Genomic DNA, 18,982 nt, shown 5'->3' with positions numbered 1-18,982 from the left:
CAGGAGCTTGTTTTTTGAAAAGATCAACAAAATTGATAGACCGCTAATAAGACTAATAAAGAAGAAAAGAGAGAAGAATCAAATAGACGCAATAAAAAATGATAAAGGGGTATCACCACCGATCCCACAGAAATACAAACTACCATCAGAGAATACTATAAACACCTCTACGCAAATAAACTTGAAAATCTAGAAGAAATGGATAAATTCCTCGACACATACACTCTCCCAAGACTAAACCAGGAAGAAGTTGAATCTCTGAATAGACCAATAACAGGCTCTGAAATTGAGGCAATAATTAATAGCTTACCAACCAAAAAGTCCAGGACCAGACAGATTCACAGCCGAATTCTATCAGAGGTACAAGGAGGAACTGGTACCATTCCTTCTGAAACTATTCCAATCAATAGAAAAAGAGGGAATCCTCCCTAACTCATTTTATGAGGCCAGCATCATCCTGATACCAAAGCCGGGCAGAGACACAACGAAAAAAAAAGAGAATTTTAGACCAATATCCCTGATGAACATCGATGCAAAGATCCTCAATAAAATACTGGCAAACCGAATCCACCAGCACATCAAAAAGCTTATCCACCATGATCAAGTGGGCTTCATCCCTGGGATGCAAGGCTGGTTCAACAAATGCTAATCAATAAAGGTAATCCAGCACATAAACAGAACCAACGACAAAAACCACATGATTATCTCAATAGATGCAGAAAAGGCCTTTGACAAAATTCAACAACCCTTCATGCTAAAAACTCTCAATAAATTAGGTATTGATGGGATGTATCTCAAAATAATAAGAGCTATTTATGACAAACCCACAGCCAATATCATACTGAATGGGCAAAAACTGAAAGCTTTCCCTTTGAAAACGGGCACAAGACAAAGATGCCCTCTCTCACCACTCCTATTCAACATAGTGTTGGAAGTTCTAGCCAGGGCAATCAGGCAGGAGAAGGAAATAAAGGGTATTCAATTAGGAAAAGAGGAAGTCAAATTGTCCCTGTTTGCAGATGACATGATTGTATATCTAGAAAACCCCATCGTCTCAGCCCAAAATCTCCTTAAGCTGATAAGCAACTTCAGCAAAGTCTCAGGATACAAAATCAATGTGCAAAAATCACAAGCATTCTTATACACCAATAACAGACAGAGAGCCAAATCATGAGTGAACTCCCATTCACAATTGCTTCAAAGAGAATAAAATATCTAAGAATCCAACTTACAAGGGATGTGAAGGATCTCTTCAAGGAGAACTACAAACTGCTGCTCAATGAAATAAAAGAGGACACAAACAAATGGAAGAATATTCCATGCTCATGGGTAGGAAGAATCAATATCATGAAAATGGCCATACTGCCCAAGGTAATTTATAGATTCAATGCCATCCTCATCAAGCTACCAATGACTTTCTTCACAGAATTGGAAAAAACTACTTTAAAGTTCATATGGAACCAAAAAAGAGCCCTCATTGCCAAGTCAATCCTAAGCCAAAAGAACAAAGCTGGAGGCATCATGCTACCTGACTTCAAACTATACTACAAGGCTACAGTAACCAAAACAGCATGGTACTGGTACCAAAACAGAGATATAGATCAAGGGAACAGAACAGAGCCCTCAGAAATAATGCCACATATCTACAACTATCTGATCTCTGACAAACCTTACAAAAACAAGAAATGGGGAAAGGATTCCCTATTTAATAAATGGTGCTGGGAAAACTGGCTAGCCATATGTAGAAAGCTGAAACTGGATCCCTTCCTTACACCTTATACAAAAATTAATTCAAGATGGAGTAAAGACTTAAATGTTAGACCTAAAACCATAAAAACCCTAGAAGAAAACCTAGGCAATACCATTCAGGACATAGGCATGGGCAAGGACTTCATGTCTAAAACACCAAAAGCAATGGCAACAAAAGCCAAAATGGACAAATGGGATCTAATTAAACTAAAGAGCTTCTGCACAGCAAAAGAAACTACCATCAGAGTGAACAGGCAACCTACAGAATGGGAGAAAATGTTTCCAATCTACTCATCTGACAAAGGGCTAATATCCAGAAACTACAAAAAACTCAAACAAATTTACAAGAAAAAAACAAACAACCGAAGCAACATGTGGGTGAAGGATATGAACAGACACTTCTCAAAAGAAGACATTTATGCAGCCAAAAGACACATGAAAAAATGCTCATCAACACTGGCCATCAGAGAAATGCAAATCAAAACCACAATGAGATACCATCTCACACCTGTTAGAATGGAGATCATTAAAAAGTCAGGAAACAACAGGTGCTGGAGAGGATGTGGAGAAATAGGAACACTTTTACACTGTTGGTGGGGCTGTAAACTAGTTCAACCATTGTGGAAATCAGTGTGGCGATTCCTCAATGATCTAGAACTAGAAATACCATTTGACCCAGCAATCCCATTACTGGATATATACCCAAAAGATTATAAATCATGCTGCTATAAAGACACATGCACATGTATGTTTATTGTGGCACTATTCACAATAGCAAAGACTTGGAACCAACCCAAATGTCCAACAATGATAGGCTGGATTAAGAAAATGTGGCACATATACACCATGGAATACTATGCAGCCATAAAAAAGGATAAGTTCGTGTCCTTTGCAGGGACATGGATGAAGCTGGAAACCATCATTCTCAACAAACTATTGCAAGGACAAAAAACCAAACACCGCATGTTCTCACTCATAGGTGGGAATTGAACAATGAGAACACATGGACACAGGAAGGGGAACTTTACACACCGGGGCCTGTTGTGGGGTGGAGGAAGGGGGGAGGGATAGCATTAGGAGATATACCTAATGTAAATGAAGAGTTAATGGGTGCAGCACACCACGTGGCACATGTATACATATGTAACAAACCTGCACATTGTGCACATGTACCCTAGAACTTAAACTATTAAAAAAAAAAAAACCGATAATTCTTTTTTTTTTTTTTTTGAGATGGAGTCTCGCTCTGTTGCCCAGGCTGGAGTGCAATGGTGCAGTCTCAGCTCACTGCAACCTCCACCTCCCAGGTAATTTTTGTATTTTTAGTAGAGACGGGGTTTCACCATGTTGGCCAGGCTGTTCTCAAACTCCTTACCTCATGATCCGCCTGCCTCAGCCTCCCAAAGTGCTAGGATTACAGGCGTGAGCCACTGCGCCCGGCAGAAAAGAGGTAATTCTTAATGAAAATTTTTTTCTTTCTTACAATCACTGTTTCCTTATCTGTGAATCCTTCTTCCAACTAGAAAGAGGAGAGAAAAGAAGTTTGCCTTAATTTCTCACAGGGAGGAGAAGGGATATAGCATGTCATTAGAATGAAAGGGTGTAGGAGCTTGAGCCCTTTTCTGCTTTCTAGAATACCCAGAGTGATCAGTTCCCAGAACTTCGGTTTATTCATTTAGACCACAGGTATGTTTCTGAGCAAAAGTTTTGTTCTGGTCTCTGTTCTAGGCTCAGAGATTTCTACTTGAATAGGATAAAAAAGATCCCTACTCTCATGGAACTCAATACCAGAGGAGACAGACAATATCCCAATAAATATTTAACAAAAAAGAAAAATTCAGAGAGCAATAATGCCTTTAAAAAAAGACATCAGGGTGATAGGACAGAGAGAATTGGATTCACCCAACTTCACATTGGATTCACAGGTAGTTTGGGAGCCCTCCCTGAGGAGAGCTCACATTTAGCTGAGACAAGAACAATAAGACAGCCATGTGAAGATCTAAGGGACAAGTGTTCCAGACAGACAGAAAAGGGGAAAGGCCAAGGAATGGGAAGGCGTGTGCTGTGTTGAAGAGACAGAAAGAAGGTTAGAGGGGCTGAAGGATGGAAAGCAAGGGGTGGAGTGGCAGAAGATGAGGTAAGAGAGAGAGAAAGTCAGGAGCTGCATCATATTCGGCCTTGGTGGCCATAGTAAGGAATTAAGTTTTATTTAAACATATTGGAAGCTCCTGGGAGGTTACAAGGAGAGTCCATTAATATTATGTTGCGGGAAGTCAGGGACCCCAAACAGAGGGACCGGCTGAAGCCAGAACAGAAGAATGTGGATTGTGAAGATTTTATGCACATTTATTAGTTCCCCAAATTAATACTTTTGTAATTTCTTATGCCTGTCTTTACTGCAATCTCTAAACATAAATTGTAAAGATTTCATGGACACTTATCACTTCCCCAATCAATACCCTTGTGATTTCCTATGCCTGCCTTTACTTTAATCTCTTAATCCTATCAGCCGAGGAGGATGTACGTCGCCTCAGGACTATGTGATAATTGCATTAACTGCACAAATTGTACAGTATGTGTGTTTGAGCAATATGAAATGTGGGCACCTTGAAAAAAGAACAGGATAACAGCAATTGTTCAGGGAATAAGAGAGATAACCTTAAACTCTGACTGCCGGTGAGCCAGGCAGAACAGAGCCATATTTCTCTTCTTTCAAAAGCAAATGGGAGAAATATTGCTGAATTCTTTTTCTCAGCATGGAATGTCCCTGAGAAAGAGAATGCGCACCTAGGGGTAGGTCTCTGAACTGGCCCCCCCGGGGCGTACCTATCTCTTCTGGTCGAGATTGCAGAGGTGAGATAGATTCCAGTCTCCCATAGCACTCCCAGGCTTATTAGGAAGAGGAAATTCCCACCTAATAAATTTTGATCAGATCGGTTGATCTCAAAACCATGTCTCCTGATAAGATGTTATTGATGACAATGGTGCCTGAAACTTCATTAGCAATTTTAATTTCGCCTCGGTCCTGTGGTCCTGTGATCTCGCCCTGCCTCCACTTACCTTGTGATATTCTATTACCCTGTTAAGTACTTGATGTCTGTCACCCACACCTATTCGCACACTCCCTCCCCTTTTGAAAATCCCTAATAAAAACTTGCTGGTTTTTGTGGCTTGTGGGGCACTGTGGATCCTACCAACGTGTGATGTCTCCCCCAGCTTTAAAATTTCTCTCTTTTGTACTCTGTCCCTTTATTTCTCAAGCCGGCCGATGCTTAGGAAAATAGAAAAGAAACTACGTGATTATCCGGGCAGGTCCCCCGATAATATTCAATTTTAAAAATAATTCTAGCTACTATGTGGAGATTGGATTGTTGGGGTTCACAAGTGGAGAACAGCAGAATTCTCCAGGGAAGACAAATTTTTGGCTTCATGTAGTGTAGTAGTGACAAAGACAGATCCAGATAAAGTGAACAGACTTGGGATGTCTTTTTGCATGTCTTGTTAATGGATTAAATGTAACTTATTTCTAAGTATTTTGCCTTGATAAATAGGTGGATGGTGGTGCTGCTTATTGAAATAGGGAAGAATATGGGAGGAAATGATTTGAAGTGGTTGATTAGAAATGACAATTGTGTTTATTAAAATTGAGATGATTTTTGAACTCACATGAAGCAATCAGGAAGTCAACTGAATATAAGAGAGGAGTTCAGGGTGAGGCCAGGGCTGGAGGTATTTATGTTGGGGTCGATGCAGGTTCTGTGTTAAATTCCAGGGAAGTGGAAGAGGTTGCAGAGGGAGATAGATTTTTGTGTAGAAAAAATATCAGAGGGCCACAGGACAGCATAAGGGACTGAGAAGATTCCCCAGAGATGCTGGAGAAAAAAAACCCAAGGAATGTGATGCATGGGAATCAAAGAAAAATGATTTTTTCGAGGCGAGGGAGTGGCCAGTTGTGGTGAGAACCACTGACAGGTGAGTGAAGTAAGAACGTGACAGAGACGCAAGTACTGGGTTTGGAGGAGTTGGTATTTGCAGTCAGTGGAGTATCCAGGATGGAAAGTGGATTGGACCAGTTGAAGAGCGGGTGGAAGAAGTGAGGGCTGGATGAAGTTTGACTCTTTTGAGTAGCGAGCCTCAGGGAAAGACTATGCTCTGGGATCAGGGAGCCAGCTGGATCTAAAGAAAATGAACAAAGAAGCTGGATGACCTGTGAACCAGAGACAGATGCTCAGTCATTGGCAATGAAGCACTAGAAGGCCCCTGTGTACAGTGGTGACAGGTTATGCAAAAGGCTATTAGTTCATACAGCCAATATTTATTAGTGACTTAGAATATACTAGTTATTACCTTGGGTGATGAGAATGGAGTAATAAACAAAGCAAATCTGGTCTGTATTAGCGTGGAGTATTGTAATATTTTGCAGTGACTAATTACCAGGCTTATAAATTTTGGTATGGAAATCTAATACCTATCCTATCATATCTTTGGTATTTAAAAGCATATACATCTTTGGAATCTAAAATTCAAAGGGTATAATGAACTTACCCACTGTCACAAAGTTAGTGCTAGAAATCCGATTGCAATTTAAATCTGAGTATATATGAAGTCCCTCTCTTCGATATCAGCAATCTCCTTTTGTGTGAGGTTTAGGCATGTGAATTATTATATATAAACCAGTGTTTCTGTCCTCATGTGTTTAAAATGGTAATTAGTGCTAAATTAATAAAAGACAATTGCCAAATCATGATGTAGACGTTACTTGCTTTAGAAGTTAAGGAATAGAAAAATAATGAAGCTTTCCTTTATAGGGATTGTAAAAATAAAATGGTAATATATTAGAGTGATTATTATATTATCAGCACTAAGAAGAGCCACTGCTTAGTTTTACCCTCAACAATAATCCTGTGAGGAATATATTACTGTTGGATCCATTTTATATATATATTTAAAGGTTAATGATTGTTAAAATTAACCCAAGTAGAAGGGGTCATGTTTAAATTCAGATTTCCTGATTCTAGAGCCTGAGCTTACAACCACTAGTGAATAGTGACTAGACTGAGTCTGAATTATTGATAGAATTTCTTATGTACAGGGTGTGTCTCAGGGTGGGAGAGAGATGCAAGGTCTGCTAGTCCCAATGTAAAGGAGAAACTTTCATTCATTTTGCATTTATCATTTGAAAACTTCCCTATGTGCACGCTGTCATAGGCATGTGTTAAAGAAAACAAAGAAGTATTAAATTCACTCCTTCTGAGCATTATTAGCAAGTTGGGCTAAGGTTGCCAAATAAAGTACAGGATACCCAGTTAAATCCGAACTTCAGATAAACAACAATAATGTATTTGAAATCCAAATTTAACTAGGCACCCTCTATTTTTATTTGCTAAATATGGCAATCTAAGCTTGGCACATGAGCATAGACTGCAGTGCTAACTATGCAAGCTACAGTGACGGCAACTTCACATATTTTTATTTTTCAACATTCTTATCTGTGAAGAAGGTGCTCAGAGAATTTAGGAATAATAAGATAGACCTTATCTCATCCAAAGTGCTCTCCTCTCTGCTATCATTTCTGAAGGGTGAAGGGAGCTTGTGAAAGTCTCTACGCAAAATCTGGGGACTTGCTCGTTTTTTGGAAACTATCTATGAGAGAATGCCATCTTCTTAGTTTCTCCCTGTATTAGTCTGTTTTCAGGCTGCGGATAAAGACATACCCAAGACTGGATAATTTATAAGGAAAAAGGGCTATAATAGACTCACAGTTCCATGTGGCTGGGGAGATCTCACAATCACAGCGGAAGGTGAAAGGCATGTCTCACATGATGGCAGGCAAGAGAAGAATGACAGCAAGCGAAAGGGTTTTTCCCTTTATAAAACCATCAGATCTCATAAGACTTATTCACTGTCATGAGAACAGCATGGGGAAAGACCTGCCCCCATGACTCAACTATCTCCCACCTGGTCCCTCCCACAACACGTGGGAATTGTGGGAGCTACAATTCAAGACAAGATTGAAATGCTTACGCAGCCAAACCATAGCACTCCCCTTCTGAGAAGGCTTAACTACAGAAATGAGAGTTCTGCCTCTGTCCAAGGTTGGTAATTTGATGCCTCCTTGTATTGTTGGGAGTAGGAAACTGAAAGTTAGAAAATGAATTAGCTGAGGCAGTGAGTAGTGGACCAGTGACACAGAAATTAAGAATATGACTTGGCGACTGGGAAGGCAAATAAATCAGTAAACCTTGGTTCTGAATGAATTAATTTTGCTAGAAAAATAGCTCTGCACTGGGACTAGATTCCTAAAAATCCTAAGTTTTATGTAGGACCAAGATTTTAAATAGATAGAATATTGGCAGAGTTTTCAGTGTAAATCTCAAATATTCCATAATTAATAGCGGCTTTTTAACCATAGATTTTTCAGATGGTTACACTAGTGGGTCTCACCCAGGGATAGTTCACCACCCCTCTGTCCCTCCCTTCCCTCTCCCAACTCCCTAGGGAACATTTGGCAATGTCTGGAGCCATTTTTGGTTGTCACACCAGGAGTTTCTTCTGACATGTAACAAGTAGAAGCTAGGGACCCTAGTAGACAGCTCCTCTCACCAAGAAAATATTATCTAGTCCAAAATGTCAATAGTGCCAAGGCTGAGAACACTGGTTTACATTGTGTTTCTTCTAAAAATTCTAGACTCACACTTTTAAAACACATTTATCTCTTAGTTCAGCTCTTCATGGCTTAGTTTTGCTTGTTTCATTGCCAAAAAAAAAAAAAAAAAAACTAGACAGTTGCATAAATTCACTGCTTTCTTGATGAATCCATTCAATCAATGCAGGTTCAAGATTTTCATTTTTACTTTTTTGCGTTATGCAGTTTATTTCAAAATTTTGATGTGTTCTTGATAATTACTATCTCTATTAACTTTCAACAACTGGTAATTATAAGTCATAAATGGTGACGACTATCCCAAATATTTTTCAGTAAAATGCTTCAGATTTCTGTAGTAATTCTACATTTTATACTACTGATAATGTAAGATGCTTTCTATTCACTGTGGTACATATACACCACGGAATACTATGCAGCCATAAAGAGGAATGAGATCACGTCCTTTGCAGAGACATGGATGAAGCTGGAAGCCATTATCCTCAGCAAATTAACACAGAAACAGGAAACCAAACACCGCATGTTCTCACATATAAATGGGAGCTAAACAATGAGAACACATGGACACAGGGAGGAGAACAACACTTACTGGGGTCTGCTGGGGGAGGGCAGAGCTGGGGAGAACATTAGGGAAAAGAGCTAATGCGTGCTGGGCTTAATACCTAGGTAATGGGTTGATAGCTGCAGCAAACCACCATGGCACATGTTTACCTGTGTAACAAACCTGTACATCCTGCACATGTACCCAGAACTTAAAAAAAAAATTATTATTTTAAAAATGCTTTCTATTCATCTCATTTTATTAAACACAAGGATTTTTCTTTATTTTTTATTTTTCATAGTTCATTTAAACATAAATACAAAAACATCAAAAATATATACATGCACAGTATTTGAAATCTGTGTGTATTTACACATGCATACGTATGTTTGTATGTTTATATATATTGAAACTACAGATGCACATGTCACCAGTAAGAGCTCTGTGACACTTTTGAGTCCTTACCTCTTCAGATCAGATTTGCCAAATGAGTTTCGGCAACAAATTAAAAACAACAGCAAGTGAATTCGTGAGTTTTCTGGATTTAGAAAGTCCAAAAAAAAAAGTTTGTGGACCTGTGTTGGGGTCATGGACTCTTCAACTGTTTCCCATTACATTTAGTATAAATCGAAATCCTAACATGACAATGATTTTAATTGTTCCCTTCTTGTGATTTCTCCAGTTTAATCTTTTCCCCTCCTTTCCTTCATGCTGTGCTTTAGTGAACTTTTTTCTGGTTTCTTGAAGAAGTTCATCAATTCTTTCAAGCTTTTGTACATGATATTATGCTTACCTGAAATGTGCCTCCCTTTTTGTCCAGAGACACACACGGGCTCCACTCTGCCCCCTGGCTCACACCCACTAAACCTGTAAGGTCACATTTGAGCTGTCACTCTCAGAGTCCTTCTCTGGCACCCTAATGTAATTTAGATCATCCTATTCTTTCTTCTAGAACTCCACACTTCTCTTAACATTTTTCGTTCCTGTATAAGGTGTTGCGTGTTTGGTTTTTTGCCATCAATTTCACTTCTCTTTAAGCTCCTCCAGCGGAGGGATGAGGTCTATTTTTCCCGTTTGGATTCCCAGGAGACGGCACAGATGAGACACAAGGTAAGCACTAAGGAAGCATTTACAGAATGGAGGCAGTGGGTCTTGTTTAAGGAATGAGTAGAGTGTGGCATGATAGGAGGCAGCAGAAGTGTCTTTTGGATGGAGGCTCCCAGGAGGAGGAAGCGCAGGAGACAGTGATGAGGAAGGTGATCCTGATCCAGAGCCTTGCAAAGAGGCGTCCAGCTCAGCTCGGAAATGGGTAGCGGATCCCAAATGGTATTCCACGCCCCTCGCAGCCTCCCTCCGCCTCAGGCAGATGGAAGAGGAACCCCTAGGTGGTCGGGGGTGGCTGGTGGGGGCCAGTCAAGGTGTTCCGCCCCTCGCCCTGCTGATTGTGGGCATAGCCATCACTCTTTTCCTAGGATGCCGCCCAAGAAACCGGTTCTTCATGTCCCTGCGGCACATTTCTTGGAGCAGATTAAACACGAGTGCTATTTCTGCAATGGGACAGAGCGGATGCGGTTTGTGCAGAGACTCATCCACACCGGAAGGAGTATGCGCGCTTCCATAGGGACGTCGGAAAGTTCCGGGCGGTGGCGGAGCTGGAGCGGAGAAGAGTCCAGGAATGCAAACAGCCAGAAGAACCTCTTGGGCTGCTTGCGGGGTCTGTTGGACACCTACTGCAGACACAACTACGGGGTTTTTGAGAGCTTCTCCATGCACAGGCGAGGTGAGCAAGGCGGGTGGGGGAGGGGAGTAGGGTCCCTGAGAACAGGGAGTGTGTGTGTATGCACACGTAAGCACCCTGTGGGAGGGTGTAGGATTGTGAGCCAGAAGGAATTAGGAGGGCTCAGGTAGGTGAGTGTAGAGTGGGGATTTGTCTGTGTGTCTGCTGTGGGAGGGAACACAGGAGGGAGCTTCAGCTTGTCCTTCCAGCCTTCTGGGCAGAGATGAGATGAGATGGGGGTGGGAATGGTGGTGCAGGGGGCTGGAGAAGGAGACCTTAATCGCCCTGAATCATTAGAGATGCAGGAAAGGGAAACTTACCTAGTCTGCTGTTGGCATGAAAGTTTAGGGGAGAAGAGATGAGAAATGATAATGTGAGGGATAATGTGAGGAGGCTAGTCACAAACTGTCCTTGGTACACTCCCTTTATGATCCCGAAATCTCTGAAATAAAAGTGTATGATATTTGTTTGCATAAGCATTTCACTGAGAAAAAAGTATTGAACTAATTTCTTTCTTTTTTATTTTAAACTTTTATTTTAGTTTTAGGGATACATGTACAGGTTTGCTCTATAGGTAAACTGCATGTCAGGTGTTTGATGTACAGATAATTTCATCACCAAGGTAATAAGCATAGTATCTCACAGGTATTTTTCCTGATCCTTTCCCTCCTCCTATCCTTCACCCTCAAGTAGGTCCCCATATCTACTGTTCTCTTCTTTGTATCCATGTGTACTCAATGTTTAGTTCCCACTTATAAGTGAGAACATGTGGTATTTGGTTTTTTGTCCCTATGTTAGTTTGCATAAGATAATGGCCTCCAGCTCCATCCATGTTCCTGCAAAGGACATGATCTTGAGAGGTGACGCTGGCTGGGCTTCTGGGTTGGGCAGGGACTTGGAGAACTTTTCTGTCTAGCTAAAGGATTGTAAAAGCACCAATCAGCACTCTGTGAAAACACACCAATCAGCACTCTGCATCTAGCTAAAGGTTTGTAAATGCACCAATCAGCACTCTGTAGAAATGCCCCAATCAGTGCTCTGTGTCTAGCTAAAAGTTTGTAAACGTGCCAATCAGCACTCTGTAAAATGGACCAATCAGCAGGATGTGGACAGGGCCAAATAAGGGAATAAAAGCTGGCCAACCCAGCCAGCAGCTGCAACCCACTCAGGTCCCCTTCCACACTGTGGAAGCTTTGTCCTTTCACTCTTTGCAATAAATCTTGCTGCTGCTCACTCTTTGGGTCCGCACTACCTTTATGAGCTGTAACACTCACTGCTAAGGTCTGCAGCTTCACTCCTGAAGCCAGCAAGACAACAAACCCACCAGGAGGAACGAACAACTCAGGACGCACCACCTTTAAGAGCTGTAACACTCACTGTGAAAGTCTGCAGCTTCACTCCTGATGTCAGCGAGACCACAAACCCACTGGGAGGAATGAACAACTCCAGATGCACCACCTTTAAGAGCTGTAACACTCACAGCAAAGGTCTGCGGCTTCACTCCTGAAATCAGCAAGACCACGAACCCACCAGAAGGAAGAAACTTGGGATACATTTGAACATCTGAAGGAACAAACTCCGGACACACCATCTTTAAGAACTGTAACACTCACCACAAGGGTTCATGGCTTCATTTTTGAAGTCAGCGAGACCAAGAACCCACCGGAAGGAACCAATTCTGGACACAATCTCATTCTTTTTATGGCTGCATAGTATTCCATGGTGTATATGTACCACGTTTCCTTTAACCAGTCCACTGTTGATGGGCATCTAGGTTGATTCAATGTCTTTGCTATTGTGAACAGTGCTGCAGTGAACATATGTGTGCATGTGTCTTTATGGTAGAATGGTTTATATTCCTTTAGGTATATACACAGTAATGGGATTGCTGAATCAAATGGTAATTTTCTTTTTAGTTCTTTGCACCCCACTGCTTTCCACAATGGCTGAACTAATTTACATTTCTATTAGCAGTGTATAAGCATTCTCTTTCCCTGCAACCTCACCAGCATCTGTTATTTTTTGACTTTTTAATAGTAGCCATTCACACTGGTATGAGATGGTATCTTATTGTGATTTTGACTTGCATATCTCTAATAATTAGTGCTGTTGCGAATTTTTTCCTATGTTTGTTGGCTGCATGTATGTCTTCTTTTGAAAAGTGTCTGTTCATGTCTGTTCATGCCCATATTTTAATGAGGTGGTTTGGTTTTTTTCTTGTAAATTTGTTTAAGTTCCTTATAGATTCTGGATATTAGACCTTTGTCAGATGCATAGTTTGCAAATATTTTCTGTTGCAGGTGAGCAATAACTATCTGGGCCAGTGGCGCCAGGGTAAAAGAATTTACCAAGACAGTTGTAGGTAGAAAAAAAAGCAGATTTATTAGAGAAAGTAGGAAAATATGTTGCAAGGAGGCAACAGGCAGGCAGGCCAGCAGAAGAGAAGCTGACTGCACGGAAACAAGGGCTTGCAGGAGATTTTATAGGATGGTTCTTAGGCTGCAGAGTGCTATGTGCAGTAGCAACAATGCCAGGGTTGCAGTGAGCTAGCTTATAGATGTCTGATGATAGTTGGGCACGGGAAGACTGTGAGTTATTTGCACAGGAGGGCTGTGTGTTCTGGACCATGAGGAAAGACAGACTTACAGCTTATTTGTTTTACCTCTTTGCTTTCTTCTGGTCCCACCAGCCTGACTCCTTTTCCCGAATTAGGACTTAACATTTTCTCCATTCTCTAGGTTTTCTATTTACTCTGTCGATAGTTTCTTTTACTGCACAGAAGCTCTTAAGTTAAATTAGGTCCCATTTGTCAATTTTTGTTTTTGTTGTGATTGCTTTTGGTGTCTTTGCCATGAAATCTTTGCCAAGTCCTATGTTCAGAATGGTATATTCTAGGTTACTTTCCAGGGTTTTTATGATTTTTGGTTTTACATTTAAGTCATTAATTCATTTTAAGTTGATTTTTGTATATGGTGTAAGGTAGGAGTCCAGCTTCAGTCTTCTGCATATGGCTAGCCAGTTAGTACAGCACTGTTTATTGAATGAGGAGTCCTTTCCTCATTGCTTGTTTTTGTCATCTTTGTCAAAGATCAGATGGTTGGAGTTGTACAGCATTATTTCTGGACTCTCTATTCTGTTCCATTTGTCTGTGTGTCTGCTTTTGTACCAGTACCATGCTGTTTTGGTTACTGTGGCCTCATAGTATAGTTTGAAGTTGAGCAACATAGTACCTCTTACTTTATTCTTTTGCTTAGGATTGCCTTAGCTATTTAGGCTCTGTTTTGCTTCCATATGAATTTTAAAGTAGTTTGTTCTAGTTCTGTGAAGACTGTCAATGGTAGTTTAATGGGAATAGCATTGAATCTATAAATTACTTTGGGCAGTATGGCCATTTTAATGATATTGAGTCTTCCTATCCATGAGCATGATAATTTTTTCCATTTGTTTGTGTCATCTCTGATTTCTCTGAGCAGTGTTTTGTAGTTCTTCTTGTAGAGATCTTTCATCTCCATAGTTAGCTGTATTCTTAGGTAATATGTGTGTGTGTGGAAATTGTGAGTGGGATTATGTTCTTGATATGGGTCTCAGCTTGAGTGTTCTTTGTGTATAGGAATGCTGCTGATTTTTATATGTTGATTTTTTTTATCCTGAAACTTTGCTGAAGTTGTTTATCAGCTAAAGGAAGTTTTGGGCCAAGATTTGGAGATTTAGGGTTTTCTAGACACAGGATCATATCATCTGCAAACAGGGATAGTTTGACTTCCACTCTTCCTCTTTGAATGCCCTTTATTTCTTTCTCTGGCCTGATGTTCTGGTCAGGACTTCCAATACTATCTTGAATAAGAATGGTGAGGGAGGGCCGGGCACAGTGGCTTACACCTGTAATCCCAGTGCTTTAGGAGGCTGAGGTGGGTGGATCACGAGGTGAGGATATCAACACCATCCTGGCTAACATGATGAAACCTGGTCTCTACTAAAAAAAAAAAAAAAGGCCAGGCGTGGTGGCATGTGCCTGTAGTCCCAGCTACTTGGGAGGCTGAGGCAGGAGAATTGCTTCAACCTGGGAAGCGGAGATTGCAGTGAGCTGAGATCGCGCCACTGCACTACTCCAGCCTGGCAACAGAGCAAGACTCTGTCTCCAAAAAAAAAAAAAAACAGTGGTGAGAGAGGGCATCCTTGTCTCCTGCTGATTTTCAAGAGTGATGCTTCCAGCTTTTGCCCATTCACTATGTTGTTGGCTGTGGGTTTGTCATTGATGGCTCTTATTATTTTGAAGTATGTTCCTCCAATGCCTAGTTTACTGAGGTTTTTTTTTTTTTTTAAGATGGAGTCTTTCTCTGTTGTCAGGCTGGAGTGCAGTGGTGGGATCTTGGCTCACTGCAACCTCCGCCTTCTGGGTTCAAGCGATTCTCCTGCTTCAGCCTCCTGAGTAGCTGCGACTACAGGCGCATGCCACCATGCCCAGCTAAGTTTTCATTTTTAGTAGAGACAAGGTTTCACCATGTTGGCCAGGATGGTCTCAATCTCCTGACCTTGTGATCTGCCCACCTCAGCCTCCCAAAGTGCTGGGATTACAGGCGTGAACTGAGCATTTTTAACATGAAGTGCTGTTGAATTTTATCAAAAGCCTTTTCCACATCTATTGAGATGATCAGGTGGTTGTTGCCTTTCATTCTGCTTTATGTGATGGATCACATTTGTTGATTTGTATATGTTGAACTAACCTTGCATCTCAGGGGTAAAATCTACTTGATCGTGGTACATTAGCTTTTGATGTGCTGCTTGATTTGGTTTGTTAGTATTTTGTTAAGGATATTTGCATCTATGTTCATCAAGAATATTGGCCTGAAATTTTCTTTTTTTGTTGTTTCTGCCCGATTTTGGTATCAGGATGATGCTGGCCTCAGAATGAATTGGGGAGTAATCCCTTCTCCTCAATTTTTTTGGAATAATTTTAATAGGAATAGGACCAGGTCTTCTTTATCCATCTGGTAGAATTCAGCTGTGAATCCATCTGGTCCCAGGCTTTTTTTGGTTGGTAGGCTTTTTATTACTGACTCAATTTCAGAACTCATTATTGGTCTGTTTAGGAATTCAGTTTCTTCCTGGTTCAGTCTTGAGAGGGTGTATGTGTCCAGGAATTTATCCATTTCTTAAATATATATTCATTTATATTAGTCCATTATCATGCTGCTAATAAAGGCATACTTGAGATTGGGCAATTTACAAAAGAAGGAGGTTTAATGGACTCGCAGTTCCACATGGCTGGGGAGGCCTCACAATCATGGTGGAAGGTGAAAAGCACATCTCACATGGCAGCAGACAAGAGAAGAGGACTTGTGCAGGGAAACTCCCCTTCATAAAACCATCAAATCTCATGAGACTTATTCACTATCACAAGAATAGTACGGGAAAGACCTACCCCATGATTAAATTACCTCCCACCAGGTCCCTCCCACAACATGTGGGTATTACGGGACCTACAATTCAAGGTGAGATTTGGGTGGGGACAGGGCCAAACCATATCATTCCACCACCGGCCCCTCCCAAATCTCATGCCCTCATATTTCAAACCAATCATGCCTTCTCAAGAGTACCCCAAAGTCTTATTTCTACATTAACTCAAAATCCACAGTCCAAATTCTCATCTGAGACAAGGCAAGTCCCTTCTGCCTATGAGCCTGTAAAATCAAAAGCAAGCTAGTTACTTCTTAGACACAATGAGGGTACAGGCATTGAATAAATGTACCCATTCCAAATGGAAGAAACTGGCCAAAATGAAGGGACTTAAAGGCTCCATGCAACTCTGAAATCCAGCAGAGCACTTAAATCTTAAACTCCAAAAAATGACCTCCTTTGATTCCATATCTCACATCCAGGTCACACTGATACAAGAGGTGGGTTCCCCTGGTCTTGAGCAGCTCCGCCCCTGTGGCTTTGCAGGATATAGCCTCCCTCCAAGCTGCTTTCATGGGCTGGCATTGAGTGTCTGCAGCTTTTCCAGTGCATGATGCAAGCTGTCAGTGGATCCATCACTCTGGAGTCTGGAGGATGGTGTTCCTCTTTTCAAAACTCCACTAGGCACTGCCCCATTGAGAACTCTGTGTGAGGGTGCCCACTCCACATTTCCCTTCTGCACTGCCCTAGCAGAGGTTCCACATGAGTGCCCTGCCCAGGCAGCAAACTTCTGCCTGGACATCCAGGCATTTCCATACATCCTCTGAAATCTAGGTGGAGGTTCCCAAACCTCAACTCTTGACTTCTGTGTACACGTAGGCTCAACACCACATGGAAGCTGCCAAGGCTTGGGGCTTGCATCCTCTGAAGCCGTGGCCTGAGCTCTATGTTGGCCCCTTTTAGTCACAGCTGGAGTGGCTGAGACACAGGGCACCAAGTCCAAAGACCGCATACAGCACGGGGACACTGGGCCCAGCCCAAGAAACCATTCTTTCCTCCTAGGCCTCCAGGCCTGTGATGGGCAGGGCTGCCATCAAGACCTCTGACATGGCCAGGCATGGTGGCTCACACCTGTAATCCCAGCACTTTGGGAGGCCGAGGTGGGTGGATCATGAGGTCAGGAGATCGAGACTATCCTGGCTAACATGGTGAAACCCCGTCTCTACTAAAAATACAAAAAATTAGCCAGGTGTGGTGGCGGATGCCTGTAGTCCCAGCTACTTGGAAGGCTGAGGCAGGAGAATGGCATGAACCTGGCAGGCAGAGCTTGCAGTGAGCTGAGATCATACCACTGCACTCCAGCCTGGGCGACAGAGCGAGACTCTGGAAAAAAAAAAAAAAAACCTCTGACATGCCTTGGAGACATTTTCCCCATTGTCTTAATAATTAACATTCAGCTCCTCGTTACCCATGAAATTTCTGCAGCCAGCTTGAATTTATCCTCAGAAAATTGGATTTTCTTTTCTATTGCATTGTCAGGCTGCAAATTTTCCAAACATTTATGCTCTGCTTCCCTTATAAAACTGAATGGCTTTAACAGCACGCAAGTAACCTCTTGAATGCTTTGCTGCTTAGAAATATCTTCTGCCAGATACCCTAAATCATCTCTCTCAAGTTCAAAGTTCCACAAGTCTCTAGGACAGGGACAAAATGCCACCAGTCTCTTTGCTAAAGCATAATGAGTCACCTTTGCTCCAGTTCCCAACAAGTTCCTCATTTCCATCTGAGACTACCTTAGCCTGGACATTATTGTCCACATCACCATCAGCATTTTGGGCAAAGGCATTCAACAAGTCTCTAGGAAGTTCCAAAATTTCCCACATTTTCCTATCTTCTTCTGAGCCCTCCAAACTGTTCCAACCTCTGCCTGTTACCCAGTTCCAAAGTCACTTCCACATTTTCAGATATCTTTTCAGCAGTGCTCCACTCTCCTCTATTAGTCTGTTATGCTGCTGACAAAGATGTACCTGAGACTGGGCAATTTACAAAAGAAAGAAATTTAATGGACTGACAGTTCCACATGGCTAGGGATGCCTCACAATCATGATGGAAGGTGAAAATCACATCTCACATGGTGGCAGACAAGACAAGAGAACTTGTGCAGGGAAACTCCTCTTTATAAAACTATCAGATCTCATGAGACTTATTCACTATGATGAGAATAGCATGGGAAAGACCCGCACTCATGATTCAATTACCTCCCACCAGGTGCCTCCCGTGGCATGTGAGAATTGTGGGAGCTACAATTCAAGGTGAGATTTGAATGGGAACACAGCCAAACCAGATCAGCACCCAACACAGGAACACCCAGATTCATAAAGCAAGTTCTTAGGGACCTTCAAAGAGACTTAGACTCCAACACAATAATACTTGGAGATGTTAACAACTCACTGATAATATTAGACAGATCATCGAGACAAAAAATTAACAAAGATATTCAGGACTTGAACTCAGCACTGAATCAAATGGACCTGATAGACATCTATAGAATTATCCACACCAAAACAACAGTATACACATTCTTCTCATCACCACATGGCATGTACTCTAAAATTGATCACATAATCGGAAGTCAAATACTCCTCAGCAAATGCACAAGAACTGAAATCATAAAAAACAATCTTTCAGACAACAGTGCAATCAAATTAGAAATTAAGACTAAGAAATTCATTCAAAACCCTACAATTACATGGAAGTTGAACCGCCTGCTCCTGAATGACTTTTGTGTAAATAATGAAATTAAGGAAGAAATTGAGAAGTTCTTTAAAACTGATGAGAACAACGATACAACATA

At 41.5% G+C, this 18,982-nt stretch overlaps 1 pseudogene, besides 2 other annotated features; it reads left to right on the top strand.

Annotated features, from left to right (window-relative positions):
* Nucleotides 7,716-7,916: a silencer, noted in NCBI's record as "peak5756 fragment used in MPRA reporter construct". NCBI's record gives its function as "represses an SCP1 promoter by STARR-seq MPRAs in K562 erythroleukemia cells {active_cell/tissue: K562}" and the evidence as "EXISTENCE:reporter gene assay evidence [ECO:0000049][PMID:32103011]".
* Nucleotides 10,012-10,512: an enhancer, noted in NCBI's record as "H3K4me1 hESC enhancer chr6:32427819-32428319 (GRCh37/hg19 assembly coordinates)". NCBI's record gives its function as "activates a minimal SCP1, AML or CMV promoter by ChIP-STARR-seq in primed H9 embryonic stem cells {active_cell/tissue: H9 hESC(primed)}" and the evidence as "EXISTENCE:reporter gene assay evidence [ECO:0000049][PMID:30033119]".
* HLA-DRB9 (major histocompatibility complex, class II, DR beta 9 (pseudogene)) lies at nt 10,465-10,734 on the top strand (annotated as a pseudogene).

The sequence above is a fragment of the Homo sapiens genome, chromosome 6 (genome assembly GCF_000001405.40).
Source record: "Homo sapiens chromosome 6, GRCh38.p14 Primary Assembly".
In the NCBI taxonomy this organism is placed as follows: domain Eukaryota; kingdom Metazoa; phylum Chordata; class Mammalia; order Primates; family Hominidae; genus Homo; species Homo sapiens.
This window is presented reverse-complemented; position numbering and strand designations above follow the sequence as displayed.